We start from the raw sequence: 15,878 nt of genomic DNA, 5'->3' as shown, positions 1-15,878 counted from the left end.
AAAAGTTCACTCTCAACATAAGCCATGCAACTGGACTCTGACCAATATTCTCATTCCTGATGGGATAAACTTTATCATCAAGCTCACTCAGGAAGGCAGCTGGGACCCTGCTTGCCCTTCCCAGGCGCTGACTGATAGAGTAGTCTGAGTTGGCCCCGCATGCTGTGAGCATGAGGTCAGCTCTTCCTGGGTTTTCTCTTGGGGGACAGGCAACTAGCCTGACAAACTTAGCTAATATACCTGTCACTCAAGGGCAGAGAGAAGGAGGCCAGAGAAACAAAGTTGAAATTAACATGTGAGTAATTGGAAGAAGAAGCATTAAATATCATTTCAGGGTAAACATTTCAATAAAAGAGTCATATTTTAGTCTCTCTATAACACTCTGTGTCAAATTTCCTTTCACGATCAAGTTCAAGGGCTGATTTACACTTTGGAAGTCCACAGAGAACTGAATCCTGGGCATAGCGATGAAGGTCACCTGACTATAGTGATGAAAGATAAAACTACCATAAATTCAGATGCTTGGCTGAGATTTTTAAATCTGTTGAAAGAGCTAAAAGGTCATTTTGCCAATTAGTTTGATGTTTAATAGGATATTTTGTTGTTTTTAGTCCTTTGCCTTGTATTTACAAATCAAACAGGCTCTGATGAAACAGCTCAAATGTGGTTTGCATTGATTCAGAAAGGAGTTATTTAAAGAGGAAAAAAAAGTTGTTGAACTTGATTTAATGAGTTTGAATATTAAGCAATTTCCTTTAATAATACATTTGTTTAAAGTAAACTGTTCATAGTTCATCTGGTCTTATTTTTAATTTTGTATTTTATCCAAACCTGATCTGCTTTTCTTTCCAGTTTCTTATTATTCATAAGGCTGTTCATGTTCCAATTAAGATCATTTTAGAATGTGTTTTCTGGAAATAAATACAGCAAGTTGATTAGGAATAGCCAAGATCAAATGTGAAAGGAGAGATCAGGTTTTGAATGCAGACAATGTTTAAAATGTATGGGTTTCAAATTTCCTTAAAGCCAAAAAAAAAGAACACATTGTTTGTAAAAGTATAAAAAATCTTGTGCTTCTGAGATCTCACTTGAATATTTACTTTACTTAATAAATACTCCTTTTGCTTTGAAGAATAGACGTAAACACTGTGTAAACATTGTGTGAGAATCTTGCACATGGTGAGGCAAACACACAGGGGTTTTCACATAACTATTGAGAAGTAAATAAATCCCATAGGCTTAAGGGCTCCCCAATTCCTTGCTACAGAGCCCTGTTGTCCACGGTTTATTTTTTTCCACAGGACGATTCTTAATACTTTACCAGATGGAAACACCACCACCACCATCTTTGCCATTTCAGCTCTTATGCATTAGGCAGCCACGATATCTTCAGGGCCTTCTTTCTCATTCACGCCATCTCAAGGTGGGTGCATTAGATGAATAAGTAGTGCATTTATTTCCTAGGGCTGTTGTAATGAAGCATCATAAACTGAGTGGCTCAAAACAACAGAAATTATTGTCTCTCAGCTCTGGAGGCTAGAAGTTGGAACCCAGCAGTGTTGGTAGGGCCATACTTTATCTGAAACCTGTGTTACCCCTTACCTCTTCCTAGCTTCTGGTAGTTTGCTGGCAGTGTGTGGAACCCCTTGGCTTGCAGCTGCATAACTACAATACTGCTTCTGTCCTCACATGACATTCTCCCTGTGTGTTTCTGCCTTTATACAGTGATCTTCTCAGAAGGACAGCGATAGAATTAGGGGCCCACCCTATTCCAGTATGATCTCATCTTAACAAATTACATCTTCAATAATCTTGCAATTACATTCTAAGGTACTAGGGGTTAGAAATTCAACTTTTTGTTTGGGTTGGGGGACACGATTTAACATCTAACAGGTGTGAACAGGCAATATGGATAACTGTGTGTATAATGTTGCTTTACAAAAAATTGGTCAGTAACTATGGCTGTTGTTCATTTTTAAAAATTTTAAGCAACAATTATTTGTTAGAACTCCATGGGGACCTTCATAGCAATATTGAACTCAAAGTAAAGATGTAAGCTTGAGGTTTCTTTCTATGCAAGCATTGTCTAACTTTCAAACTTCTCAAACCATAGGGAGACAGGAAAGAAATCACCTCATATAATGCTCGCAGGTTTGGAATCAGTTGAAACAGCCTAGTTTAAAAAGGTCAGTATAGAGTTTAATTGGGTATATTTAACTGAAGTATTAAATAGAGACATTGCTGGCCTGAAAAAGATCTCATGCCAGATAAAGGCAAATATAATAAAGATGTCAGGGTGCTTCTCTGGAGCAAGTGAGATCATTATGCAATTATGTTACTTAGAAAGGCAAAGGGCAGAATACAATTTACACTGTGAAATGTTACATTTCCCAGTTTCCGGAATCCTTTTCTTCTCATTTCTTTGCAGGTAATCCACTGGGCTAGCGATAGGTTATAATTAAGTGTTGTCATGATTTCCAGTTAGTTTAATATGAGAGAATTTACTTAAAATCATCAAGTCTTCAGACAAACTATGATGTTCTAAACAAATTTTGACAATTAAAAAAATAGAATTAAATATTTGCTTTGATATAGAGCTGAATAGCCATACCAAAGAAGTTCTAGAAATTTTTGACTATCTTAATTTATAAATTTAACCACAATTTGTTAACTATTTACTATATTCAAGACATTATTTGATACTGGGCTTGTAAAGTAAAATTGAGTGAAACATTTTAATTTTCATAAATTGTGATTTCATAGATACATGTGTAGAGGTGACTTTTTAAGTAGCCTATAATAAGTGCCATACCCTAAATACAAATGTAGTGATGCTACCAAGAGCAAAGAGAGCTTCTTTGTTACAAGGAACAAAGGCAAAGAGAGCATCAAATGTAACTAAACAGATGAGAGAATCATAAGGTACACTAGTTAGAGTAGGTTAGGGTAGGCCACCAAGCCATTCCAAAATTTCGGTAGCTTAACACACATGCAAGTGCATACACACAGGCGTATGTTTTTGTGTTTATTTCTTTTGCAATTCATAATATGTGTTCAATATGGTTCACCTGGAGGTGGGAACCTTGCTTCAGTGCTTCCCTGATCACCAAGACACATAAAAAGAAAAATGGCAAATCACTCAATGGCTCTTCAAGCTTCCATCCAGAAGGCTCCATAGTACTCTTATCACTTCTGGCCAAATCAACTCATAATAACATTAAAAAAAAAAAAAGCAAAACTTGTGAAGGAGAGAGGGTCCATATGTAAGAGATACAATCATAAAGTGTGCCCAGAATTTGAAGAGTGCTGGCATATTTGCATGCACCCAAATGGATATCACTGTGGGCATCTGTGAAATGACGAATGATATTTCAGTGAGTGGAAATTGTGCCAGGGTCTAAAAATATTCAATAGAGTGGAAAAGAAAATTGGGAAACAGTTGACAGCACTTTTGTTCGTTAAGTGGCAAATATTTGTGCATGACCAACGGTGGAAAACAAATATGACAAAAGTATATTGTTATTGGACTACCAAGAATCTTGTATTAGTTTGAGTTCTCTCAGAGCTGACCTTGAGACTACAAATGAGCTCAAGTAGTTTGGGAACTTGCAATGGCTTTCCTGAGGTGTCTACTTGGCTAGACTACTGTCTTCAATTATTCTAAGACTAATTAATCACCAAACACTAACCTAGGTGTTGCTGTAAAGAGATTTTGCAGATATAATTAAAACTTCTAATCGGTAGACTTTGTGTAGGGAACACTGTCCTGGATAATTTGTGTGGAGCTGACTGAATCAGTTGCAAAACCTCAAAAGCAGGGCTGAGGTTTCCCAGAGAGAATAAATCTCACCTGTAGACAACAGCGCTAGCCTGTCCCCAGAGACTCCAGCCTGCCTATGATATCCCTTTTCTGAATGCCCACCCCATGATATCAACTTTTTAGCCAGCTCATGCATTTGTAAATTCGATTTCTTATAATAAATATCTTCCTATATTGTACTGCTACTGGTTCTGTTTCTTTGGTTGAATCCTAACTGATATAAAAGGGATCATAGGAAGTACAATCGGGCAATAGAAAAATGAGACAGAAAATAATGCAGCTCAATAAAGTGTGTTTTTATGAACAGATTACTCCTGTGGGTATCTGGGCTCAATCCCAGTGGAAACCTTCTAAATGACTGTAGACAAGAAACCTCCAAATGACTGCATGAACGGTGGAGAAAACCAGGGTATTTCTCCTTGAACTCTAGCTACTTATTGCTTAAGAGCACCTGTCCCCTCCACTTGTCCATTTCCCTCCTTTCCTGTGACAAAAGAACCCTTGCAGGAAGACAGTGGAAAAATGCCATAGGTGGCTTGAAAGGATACGGGCTTGGAATGCACAGAATCTGATACAAGTCTACTTCAAAGACAATGGCTTTTATTCTTCAGTGACTGGGGACACAAGAACATGTTTTCAAAAGGGGTGTAAAATTTGTGATTTAATCAACACATACTGAGTATCTAAAATGTGCCAGGCACTGTGAAAGAAACTGAATAAATATGAGTGAAGTACAGTCTCAGTCCTCTAGAAATTTCAGATTCATTAAAAGTACAGTTGACCTTTGAACAATACAGATTAGAACTGTCTAGTCCACTTATACATGGATTTTCTTCTGCCTCTGTCACCCGAGACACAGCAAGACCAACCCCTCCCCTTCCTCCTTCTTTTCAACCTACTTAACCTGAAATCGATGATGAAGACATTTGTGATGATCCACATCCACTTAATGAAAGGTAAATATATTTTCTCTTCCTTATAATTTTCCTAATAACCTTTTTCCCCCAGCTTACTTTATTGTAAGAATACAACAAATTATACAAATAACATATAAACTATGCATTAATGGATTGTTTATGTTATTGATAAGGCTTCTGGTAAACTGTAGGCTATTAATAATTAAGTTTTTGGGAAGTCAAAATTTATACACGGTTTTTTTGACTGTGTAAGAGATCAGCACAGCTACCCTCCACGTTATTTAAGGGTCAACTGTATTTGCAACGAAATTTCACAAGATTTGCAAAAGACATGCATTCCTGTCGAGAAATAGAAGGGTTAATACTAACCGGAAACATATAGAGGCTATCGAAAAGTAGAGTATTCAGCAAGCAATCATGGGAGAGAAGACCATTTCAGACCATTCCTTGAGTGCCACATTCAATTCTGGGTGCTATCTTTCAGTGAAAACAAGAACAAAGTAGAAAACAATGTAAGAGAGATAAACAGCATTGCAAAGTCAGAGTTGTACAGGAAATTTCAATTCTTTAATTTGCTAGGAGAAAGAAGACTGGTGAGGTGGGGAAGGATTGGGCATTGGAGTGAATTTTTGAAAATATTTTTGGCCGGGCGCGCTGGCTCACGCCTGTAATCCTAGCACTTTGGGAGGCCGAGGCAGGCGGATCACAAGGTCAGGAGATCGAGACCATCCTGGCTAACACGGTGAAACCCCATCTCTACTAAAAATACGAAAAATTAGCCGGGCTTGGTGGCGGGCGCCTGTAGTCCCAGCTACTCGGGAGGCTGAGGCAGGAGAATGGCGTGAACCCGGGAGGAGGAGCTTGCAGTAAGCCCAGATCGCGCCACTGCACTCCAGCCTGGGCGACAGAGCGAGACTCTGTCTCATTTCCCCAATTGTCCACATGTAGACGCTCCTCTAGAGAAATGAGAAATCTTCATATCTGTCCCTGTTTCTCTATTTGGCTGAGGGCTGAGTCTCACCTCAATATACATGTTTTTTTAATGCCATGTCCTCTGTTTTTCATTTCAGTTTGATATTTGGGGGGAAGCAAAGAGTTCGCCACTGTATCTGAGCTCCCTCATTCTTGTGATCCAGCTTCACATGCTGCCGGTGGCCAAATCAGTTTGAGGCCAATAAGCACTTACCTAGAACCAGCAGGAGGGAGGAAGCAGAGCCCACCTGTCTTCTTGCATCCAAAGGTGCAACATTCCTGTTCAAAATCCAGGCACGTGGCAGCCACATGCTGGAGGAGGCACCTGATTCGTGCCCAATTCCGTAAAATATTAAGAATTATACAATTTTAAATTACAATGTTTCATTTTCTCTGCAGCCTGACCTAATTGTTCCCAGCAGGGAGAGTTGGCCAATGGCATTGATTTTGGGTTTTTTTCTCCTTGGCCTGTAAGGAAAAGGCATTCGTCTCTCATTTGTTTTCTTTATTTTTCTTTGAACACTGCCGAAGTATTCCATGCCAGCTCCTCCTCATACCTTCTTTCCCACTTTATAAGCACTGATTCACCTGTAAAACACATTTTTATAAAAGCCAGAGAAAGAACAGTGGCCATAAAAAGCTCCCACGCCTTTGCATGATCCTTGTTGTTAGCAATCCAGAAAAGGTCCCCTGCTCACAGCAGACGTTGCCTGGCAGCTGCTGCCTTGACTTTTTTCTTCTCCAACCATTGTGCTCACAAGCCTGGCAGGGTCAGAAGAGAAGAATGCATTTTTTTTCATCATCACTTGACAGTGTTTTCTTCAGATCTCCAAGTTTTACAAACAAGGTGATAGCCATAAGAGATTTATCCTGACAACTCAAAGATTGGCGCATGTTTTGTCTGAAGGGGTCAGAGAAAGCAGGAAAAATAAAGAGAGATCATGCAAATAAACCTAGACATATCCACACACATCCAGATGCCCTTTAAATTTGCATAGGCCACATTGATTTTTTTTTTCTTTTTCCTTTGGCTATTTATGTGATGCACAGGAAAATATTCACTTGCAAAAATGGACAACATGTATTGCCTTTCCAGTTTTTGCTAGAAAAGTCTTAAGGAAACATGTCATTACCATTTATCTCTACAGATAAAATGTCAGACCCTTCAGAAAACTTAGGGTAAGGTTGGCTGATGGCAAGGATCATCTTTGTATACTGCTAGTAATCCCAAAGGCTTGTAATGGTCATATTATTTGCTGTTTATATCATCCTTATATAAAATACTTGGCCATTCATGAGTAGATTGGTATCGTTGACATTCCAGGGAATGTTGTGCAAATAAGTCAGAGTCTTAAATTCTGTTTTCTGGAAAATCAATATTATGAGATATTGTCAGGTCTTCTGTGATAAGAGGTTCCATAGTAAATAATTTGGCCAATACTGTGTTAACAAAGTTAACAAGTTTTTTTTCTGCAAGATTTCTTGTACTTTATGATAGAATGCATAGTAAGGTCTCAAGGAGCTAGAGACCTACTAGGTCAAACCTAGGCCAAACAACTGGCCCCATATGATTACACACTTAACGTAAGTCCATTAGAATTTTCAGCTTCTATTTCTTTTTTAAGAAAAATAAATTAAATGTATAAGTTTATTAATTTTCTTCTAAGCCAAATGTTCCATTGTGTCTACTAAACTCTGGTTTTTCAAACTTGGTTTTTAAAGAAGATGAAAGAGACCAACACATACTTTCCTGACTTCAGAGATTTATTATATTATTCAAAATATAACTAGCAACTATGTACCAGGCACTTTGTTACGCACTGAAGGTAAATGGTGAACACGTCCCATCTGTTAAGAGATGTCTAATAAGCAGTGGGTAATACACTTCTGGACTTTTGTTCAGGAGTTAGACCTGGAGTTAGAAAAGTAAAAAGCTAAGAAGTATTCTTTACTTTCCAAATGTTTTCCAAACTGTGTTTTGGAGAACTCTAGCTCCTTAAGACCTTAGTATGCATTCTATCATAAAGTACAAGAAATCTTGCAGAAAATAAACTTGTTAACTTTTCTCACTCCAAGCTGGAGTGCAGTGGCGTGATCTCGGCTCACTGCAAGCTCCGCCTCCCGGGTTCCAGCAAGGTAGTGTATTTCTTAATTCAAACAGAATGAAAGAGATAAGGAAATATCTGAGGGATCAAATGACTTTGGAATAATTTTTTTGTTTGTTTTTGTTTTTCTTCCAGAGGACATAAATAGTACTAGTGAATGAAAAGTTCAAGAATGTGGATCTCAAGTCAGAATAAGAAGATTAGAGAAACTAAAGCTACTCTAAAATGAAAAAAAAATTAATGAAAAAAAATTAATGCAATAAAATAGTATTTTTCTTTTTTTAAAAAATAATTCCAACTTTTATCTTAGATTCAGGGAATACATGTTCAGATTTTTTACATGAGTATATTGCATGATATTGAGGGTTGGGATATGGATGGTTCCAACACCCAGGTAGTAAGTATAGTACCCAATAGGTAGTTTTCAGCCTTTGCCCTCCTCTTTCTCTCCCCCGTCCACTAATCCCCAGTGTTTATTTTTCCATGCTTATCTCCATGTGTACCTAATGTTGAATTTCTGCTTGTAAGTAAGAACATACAGTATTTGGTTTTCTATTTCTGCTTTAATTTATTAAGATAATGACCTCCAGCTGCATCCATGTTACTGGAAAGGAAATTATTTTGTTCTTTTTAATGGCTGCATAACATTCCATGGTGTATATGTACTACATTTTCTTTATCCAATCTACCATTGATGAGTACCTAGATTGATTCCGTGACTTTGCTACTGTGAATCATGTTGCAATAAACATACAAATGCATGTGTCTTTTTAAAAATTAGCAAGTCGGACCTAATTAAACTAAAGAGCTTCTGCAGAGCAAAAGGAACTATTAACAAATATCTTACAGAATGAGAGAAAATATTCACAAACTATGTATCAAACAGACAGCTATTATCCAAAATCTGTAAGGAACTTAAACAATTCAACAAGCAAAATGCAAATAACCCCATTAAAATGTGGGCAAAGGACATGAACAGACATTTCTCAAAAGAAGATATACAAGCAGAAAATAGTAATTTAATAAAGCAGTAAGGTCCTTATTGTTAAATATTTTGAAGAAGTTGGCTATTCATCTGAGATTTTTGCATTGAATGAGATAATGGAGAAGGTGATGCCTAAGATATTTATATAGGCTCTCCTAGCTACAGATGCTTGTGATACTTAGAATAGTCTAGTTTATTCCAGTAGTGTGACTTAGTATTGCTTTTAATTCTTACAGCAGCCAACACAATGGTCAGTTCAGAAAGTATTTAGTATTCTTATTCACTGTGTATAAATATCAGGCTTAATAAAGACATTTCAAATAAAAAATAGGCAAGAAGAAAGAGAAGAAGGAAGGGAGGGAGGAAGGAAAGAAGGGGAAAGGGAGGGAGGAAAAGAAAGAAAAAAAGAAAGAAGGAAGGAAGGAGAGAGAGAGAGAAAGAAAGAAAAGAAAGAAAGAGAAAGGAAGGAAGGAAGGAGGAAGAGGGGAGAGGGAAAAGAAAGAAAGGGGAAAAAGGAAAGGAAGAAATAATGAGAAGGAAGAATCCTAAACACCTGAGGCATAAAAGGGGATGAAAATGGTATTATAAATAAATCACTGTACAATCATTAATGATGCTTAAAATGCTTATAATATTTCAGGTTGTATGTGTTGTGGGGACATATCACCTCTCAGGACATATTTTCCACTTCTTTTCCATCTGGGCTTCCACCATACTAGCTACCTTGCCATTATTTGGATATTCTGTCACTCTTTATCCCTGGGGCCTTTATTTTATGGACAATGAAGAAGGAGGAGCTTCTCATTTGGCTAAATTCTAAACAATATACTTAGTTGTATGCACTGTGGAGAAATGTAGAAGTGACTTGAGGTATGGATATACACAGAATCACAATCAGTGGTAAAATGATTGGCTTTATTTAGAGGTCTGGAAGAAACAAATTTCACGGATCAGAGGTAAGTAAGGAAGCTTTGGGAAGGGGAACGTAGAGGGGCATATGGGGGTTGGAAGAATGTGTAAATCTTTGGTCTTTGTATTAATAACATTCAAGACGTATCTAGAACAGAGGTACACTCAAAAGTCAACCAGACAGGATGGTTCTTTCAGAGGAGGTCAGCCAGTGTTTCTCCTTGGTACTGTACAGCCTAGTCCATAAGGCCAGAAATTAAATAGCTATGATGAGAAGGATAGATATTTATCAGCCCAAAGCATGGATTCCCTGTCATTAAGGTTGGCTAAGCTACTACCTCTGGTGAATCCCTGGTCTGTCAGCAACAAAATCCAAAGCTGTTCACTGATAAGGCAGCATTGCTAAAATAATCTGACTGTCCACTTAATGGCAGGTTGATTATACTGGACACCATCTATCCAGAAGACAGTAACTTGTCCTTCCCAGAATGAATACCCATATGTACATGTGCCAGTACCACACCCTAACAACTTACAACATTTCTGATTTGCTACAACTGGATTACACACATAATTTTCTCAGATCGTGTGACCCTTTTATAGCAAAAGAGATATAACAAACTTCACTTTACCCTGAGACCCACTGATACTATTATATACTGTATCATCCAGAAGCATGAAGCCTAATTAAATGATACAAAGAAGAAGAGATCATTTGCAGCTCCAGGACAATTCCCTGAATAGTTAGGAAGTAGGATTGGACATTCTTATCAACACTCTTAGTGTTTCATTACCAGAATATATGCTATTGATGCCCATGACTTTTGAATCAACTGGATTATTGATCCTGGTTCCTTACAGAAAACATTTCCAAGAAGTAACACAGCAAGGATTCCACTGAAATTGTAGGTAGATCACCATGTGGTGATTTGGGTCTCCTCATGCCAGTACAATGACAGGGAGACAGAAAAGGGTGAAGACTCCTGTTACTGCAAGAATTTATAGTAGCTGAAAGGACTTCATTGGAAGTCATGAGATTTAGTATGTATCTATGGTTGCTTCACTGCCCAGTAATAACTAAGTAATCAATTACAGTAGCCACAGCCTGACAACAGCAAAGCAACTGAAGGCTTGTAATACCTGATGATGAAATTCTGAGATGACCCCAGTGGTTAAGTGGTGGCCAATGGAGGAGTGAGAGTATGGATATCAATTGTGGCTTCAAGCCAGTTATAGCTGGAGTACAAGCTTCTTCCATTAACCCTACTGTCTTCATTCTTTTCCTGGTGGAAAAAGCCAGTCATCAACTGGAAGGCTCTGTGAAAGACTGGGCTTAAGAGAGATCACAAATGGTTTCAAATGGTACAAGGTTAGACACATCTTCTGCCCTGCTCAAATCCTCTCAGTCCATCTCTTTTTTTTTTTAATCCTATAGTCCACTGCTGCAACCAAGTGCACAAAGGCTTATATATTTAACATTAGATTCTTGAAGTAATCTCACTTATTTGCTAAATATTCATTCATTTTTATCAAAGAAAACAGCAACACATTGTTATATATAAAGTTTCGGTGCTGCAAAAGAAATAGCACTCGAATAAATTTTTTTTTTTTTTTTTTTTAATTCTCAGCAAGGCAAGGTACTTCTACGGAAGGGTGCGACCTCACGGATGGAGCAATGGTGAGCACACACCTGGACAAGGGAGGGAAAGGGGTTCTTATCCCTGACGCACGTGTCCCCTGCAGCTGTGTCGTTCCCCTATTGGCCAGGGTTAGACCGCACAGGCTAAACTAATCCTGGTTGGCTAATTTAAAGAGAGTGCCGGGGTGAGTGCTTTGGCGGGAAAAAAATGGTTATGCAGGGTGGAGAATGAGTCAGGGCAGAGCAGTTAATCAGAATGAGTTAGAGTGAAGCAAGTGATCGGAATGAATTAGGGTGGAGCAGGTGATTGGAATGAGTCAGGGTGGAGTAGGTAATCGAAAAGGGTTGCTTTACGAGGAAGTTAAGTTTAAAACTAGAAGACAAAGAATTGAACATACTGACATATTAATTCTTTGAAGAGAAGTTTAGAATTCACATTTAACACAATGAATTGAGAGGGAATAAAATAAAATATCCTGTAAATCATCTCACCCACATAATCTTTGTTAAGCATTTTACCCCTTTTTCTAATTGTATTCAAAGTTTTTTTGATGAGTACATAGTAAATTAAAATTTTAAAACATCAAAATTGAAGTTTAAAAAGCCATTTCCACAAACATTTTTGTTACTCATCATTATCTAATAGTAAAAGTAAAATGTCTTTGTCAATTTTTATCACCATCATCATCCCCTGTTCTTTACTTTCTTAAATGCAAGTTGTCTTGTTCAACGTGTCTTAGAAACAGGAAATAATAATACGTAATTCATACCTTCAGAGGACTTGCAAGTTATTTGGGACAACAAACCTAATCCCCATAACAATTGCTAAATTGTAAATCTATTAGAATGTGAAAGGTAGATAAGTATAGAAAATTTAAGATATAACACAGATTAATGATGGTAATTCAGATTACCACAGATAAGAACAACTAAATGAGTACAGCAGGTAGATAGAAATAGAAAGAAAACTAAAGGATACGACATAGTCTTGAGGGTATAGAAAATTAGATCAGAGGCTATAAATTGGAATGTTTGTGTCCCCCTAAAATTCATATGTTGAAACATAATCCCCAATTGCTATGATCTGAATGTTTGTGTCCTTCACCCAAAATTCATATTGAAAACGAATCTTCAATGCGATAGTATTAAGAGTTGGGGCTTTGGGGGAAGTGATTAAATTGTGTAGACAGAGTGCTTATGAAAGAGATTTGATCCCATATAAAAGAGGCCTGAGGGAGCCTGTTTATTTCTTCCCATTATGTGATAACACAGCTAGGAGGCATCATCACCAAATCAGCTGACATCTTGAGCTTGACCTTTCCAGCTACCAGAACTGTGACCCATGAATTTCTGGTGTTTATAGGTCACTCAGTCTGAGGTATTTTGTTATGGTAGCCTGAACAGACCAAGACACCAATAAGACGGTATTTGGAGGTGGGGCCTTTTGTAGGTAAGTCTCCCTCATGACTGGAATAAATGTCCTTACAAAAGTGACCCCAGAGACCTCATTTATCCCTTCTACCATGTGAGGACATTGGGTGCAGGCTCTCTGAACCAGAAGTCAGTACATACCAGATACTGAATGTGACAGCTTGTTCCTCATAGCTTTCAGCACTAATAAATCTACTTGTAAGAAATACATTTCTTTGTTTATAAGCCACCCAGTCTATGATATCCTGTTATTGCAACCCAAACTCACTAAGACATTAAGTAAAATATCATAATAACATCTGTGTTATGATGCATGGGACATAAAACCAGAGTACTTCAGAATCGACGCACTAGGAAATTGGTGTCTGTCAGAGATTTTTTGAGTAGTCAAATAACATGGAGAATGTGGTGTTCAGTAATACTAGTCTGACAGTTTTAGGGAGAAAGAATCTAAATCATGTTGCCCAGAAAGAAATCTGTGGAGATAACCCCAGTTTAAACAAATAAAGAAAACCAAATTTAAATCCATTTCTTATCCAAGTTGTGGCAATTGGCTTAAGAGTCTTCAAAGATAGCAGATAGATTCTTACAGACACTGTGGTAGTAGTTATTAAGAAATTATTTTAGGCAGATAGAGAGGAAAAAAAGGGGTCCTTGGAAGATTTTTTTTTTTTGCAGCTCTTGTCTAGCACGAAAGTTCTGGCTCTTAGACCCTGCTGGCCACCTTTGATATGCAAATGCCAGCCATAAGAAACTGGTCCACCCAACATGGTGATTCCCACCATTGTCCTCTCGCCCTTGCCCCCACATGTGCCTGGCAGCATGGCCACCCCCACATATCCCTACGTGTGTGGAACATCATGGCGCCCTGCATTTGAGTATTAAAAGGCTAGGGTGGAAGGGCCAGTTTTTTCGGGGGCTACGTGAATAACATCCCTAGTCAAACCAATCCCCTGAGCCCTATGCAAATCAGACACCGCCTCCTCCAGCCATCAAATATAGCTGGCTGATATTACCTGAAAGTGGGGTTCCCTCTTTCTGCTTTGGAGGCCCCTCCCTCTGTCTGTGCACAGGGGAGCTTCTTCTTTCCCCCTTCTTTCTTGCCTATTAAACTCTCTGCTCCACATGTGTCCGTGTCATTTTCTCCAATTCAACTCGAGACGAAGAACCCGGTGTTTTTCCACTTATCGGAGCCTTATCAATACTTTACTAGCTATCTTGTTAAACTATCTGTTGTTGATACTCTAGTCTACATATCTGGTGAATTTTTTTTCTGAGAAATATAGATTTGGTACTAGAAATTTTTTCCGTGCATGCCTAAAGTCGGAAGTTCCTATTTGGAATTTGTTGTCCAATATAGTTTAGAAATATAAGATAAGACTTTGTGCGCGTCCGTGTGAAGAGACCACCAAACAGCCAAACAGACTTTGTGTGAGCAACAAGGCTGTTTATTTCACCTGGGTGCAGGCGGGCTGAGGCCGAAAAGAGAGTCAGTGAAGGGAGATGGGGTGGGGCCGTTTTATAGGATTTGGGTAGGTAAAGGAAAATTACAGTCAAAGGGGGTTGTTCTCTGGCAGGCAGTGGTGGGGGTCAAAAGGTGCTCAGTTGGGGAGCTTTTGAGCCAGGATGAGCCAGGAAAAGGGATTTCACAAGGTAATGTCATCAGTTAAGGCAGGAACAGGCCATTTTCACTTCTTTTGTGGTGGAATGTCATCAGTTAAGGCAGGAACCGGCCATGTGGATGTGTACGTGCAGGTCACAGGGGATATGATGGCTTAGCTTTGTCTCAGAGGCCTGACAAAGACACATTTATCCTTTTTGTCCTTCTTGTTAAAAAAATTATAAACACTAAGAAGATTGTATTTTATAGCCATAAGCATAACACTTACTGAATTAAGAATACTTCATAGTGCAGAAGATTCCTAGATAGATATTGACAATATTGTGTGCTGCAGAAAGACCTTCATGTCCTGCAGAGCATGTATTCTGATGTTCTTGCTGTTCTCCTCATGCTGGTTCTTGGCACACAGAATTGTTTACAGTGAATGCCAAGTACAAGTTGACATATACATTTGAAAGGAGACTACCTTGTTCCTTTGGCTTTTGAGCATAGGTAGCAAGTCTCAAAGAAGTTTCTCAAGTACTTTTTAGTTTTGTCTTTGGTGTTTCAAAGGAAAGACTCAGTAGGGAAGCAGGATTAAGTGGATTAAGTTGTTTATTTCAAACAACAGACTCAGAATTTTGATGCAGTGATCCCTGCACTAAGCATATGAGTAGAGATGATTCTTGCCCATGCTCTGTAGCTAGACCCAAGGAGTGCAGCCAATGTCAATTCCTGCCATGCCTGCCAGGGATACTTTGATGTCTAGGGCAGTCGAATGGTGTCACATTCCAAGAATCAAAGAGGCAAAAAGCCTACAGTCAGCTGTTGAGGACTTACTCTACTCATTGAAATGCAAAGGATGCCTTTGGAATTTGCCGTACTGTGAAATAATAAACAAAATGCCCCAAGCAAAACAAATAACAATTTAAATATTTCCACACAAACAATAAACTAAAACTAAAATATTTTACCTGGTTGCTTTAAAGTTGATGTTTACTCCCAAATTAAACATTTCAGCAAAGTGAGAGGTTGGAAACCGTATTTTACCAATCATGATGTATTTAACTAACAAAGAGATACCTTCAAAAGAAGTAAAATGTGTGACAGGACCCTGGTGTATTAGTTTTATTTGCCTTTGGTATGTGAAACAAAAGGAAACATTTTAATTACAGAGCACATTTCTTAAACAACAGTGCTATGTACCTTACACTAAAAAAAATGAAATCCAGATGTACTAGAGTCGAATGAAAAAATAAATCATTCAACCATAAGAAAATATGGGAACATATGTATTAGTTCATAAGATAGGGACAGGTTTCTTATATATAAAGTAAAGTAAAATTTACAGAAGAGTTTTTCTCTGAATCAAACAATGAACTAAATCAATTAAAAAGCAAAAATGAGTTAAAAAGCAAGAAAAGTGAAAAAAATAGTTAAAAACAGATGGAATGCAGGTTAATTATATACCCACACACGGACACATATATGAATAAATAT

At 38.0% G+C, this 15,878-nt stretch overlaps 1 protein-coding gene across 2 annotated transcripts, besides 3 other annotated features; it reads left to right on the top strand.

The window, feature by feature from the left end:
* Positions 1 to 1,253: 1,253 nt before the first annotated feature.
* Positions 1,254 to 12,785, top strand: LOC124903401 (uncharacterized). Of its 2 annotated transcripts, XM_047432045.1 has the most exons (4): positions 1,254 to 1,423; positions 4,674 to 4,776; positions 11,337 to 11,386; positions 12,711 to 12,785. In XM_047432045.1, exons 1-4 carry the CDS (start codon positions 1,325 to 1,327, stop codon positions 12,765 to 12,767), a joined length of 309 nt encoding a protein of 102 aa, XP_047288001.1. In that variant the 5' UTR covers positions 1,254 to 1,324; the 3' UTR covers positions 12,768 to 12,785. The 2 variants fall into 2 exon arrangements, 1 of the variants encoding a protein (XP_047288001.1); XR_007064377.1 differs by lacking the exon at positions 4,674 to 4,776.
* Positions 10,897 to 12,096: an enhancer, noted in NCBI's record as "CDK7 strongly-dependent group 2 enhancer chr14:84430405-84431604 (GRCh37/hg19 assembly coordinates)". NCBI's record gives its function as "activates an origin of replication core promoter dependent on BRD2, BRD4, P300/CBP, MED14 and CDK7 cofactors, with strong dependence on CDK7, by STARR-seq in HCT116 cells {active_cell/tissue: HCT116}" and the evidence as "EXISTENCE:reporter gene assay evidence [ECO:0000049][PMID:35650434]".
* Positions 13,860 to 14,736: an enhancer, noted in NCBI's record as "NANOG-H3K27ac hESC enhancer chr14:84427765-84428641 (GRCh37/hg19 assembly coordinates)". NCBI's record gives its function as "activates a minimal SCP1, AML or CMV promoter by ChIP-STARR-seq in naive H9 embryonic stem cells {active_cell/tissue: H9 hESC(naive)}" and the evidence as "EXISTENCE:reporter gene assay evidence [ECO:0000049][PMID:30033119]".
* Positions 14,737 to 15,613: an enhancer, noted in NCBI's record as "OCT4-NANOG-H3K27ac hESC enhancer chr14:84426888-84427764 (GRCh37/hg19 assembly coordinates)". NCBI's record gives its function as "activates a minimal SCP1, AML or CMV promoter by ChIP-STARR-seq in naive and primed H9 embryonic stem cells {active_cell/tissue: H9 hESC(naive and primed)}" and the evidence as "EXISTENCE:reporter gene assay evidence [ECO:0000049][PMID:30033119]".

This window comes from Homo sapiens, chromosome 14 (genome assembly GCF_000001405.40).
Source record: "Homo sapiens chromosome 14, GRCh38.p14 Primary Assembly".
Lineage (NCBI taxonomy): Eukaryota > Metazoa > Chordata > Mammalia > Primates > Hominidae > Homo > Homo sapiens.
Note: the sequence above shows the minus strand (reverse complement) of the source record. Positions and strands in the feature narration are given on the sequence as shown.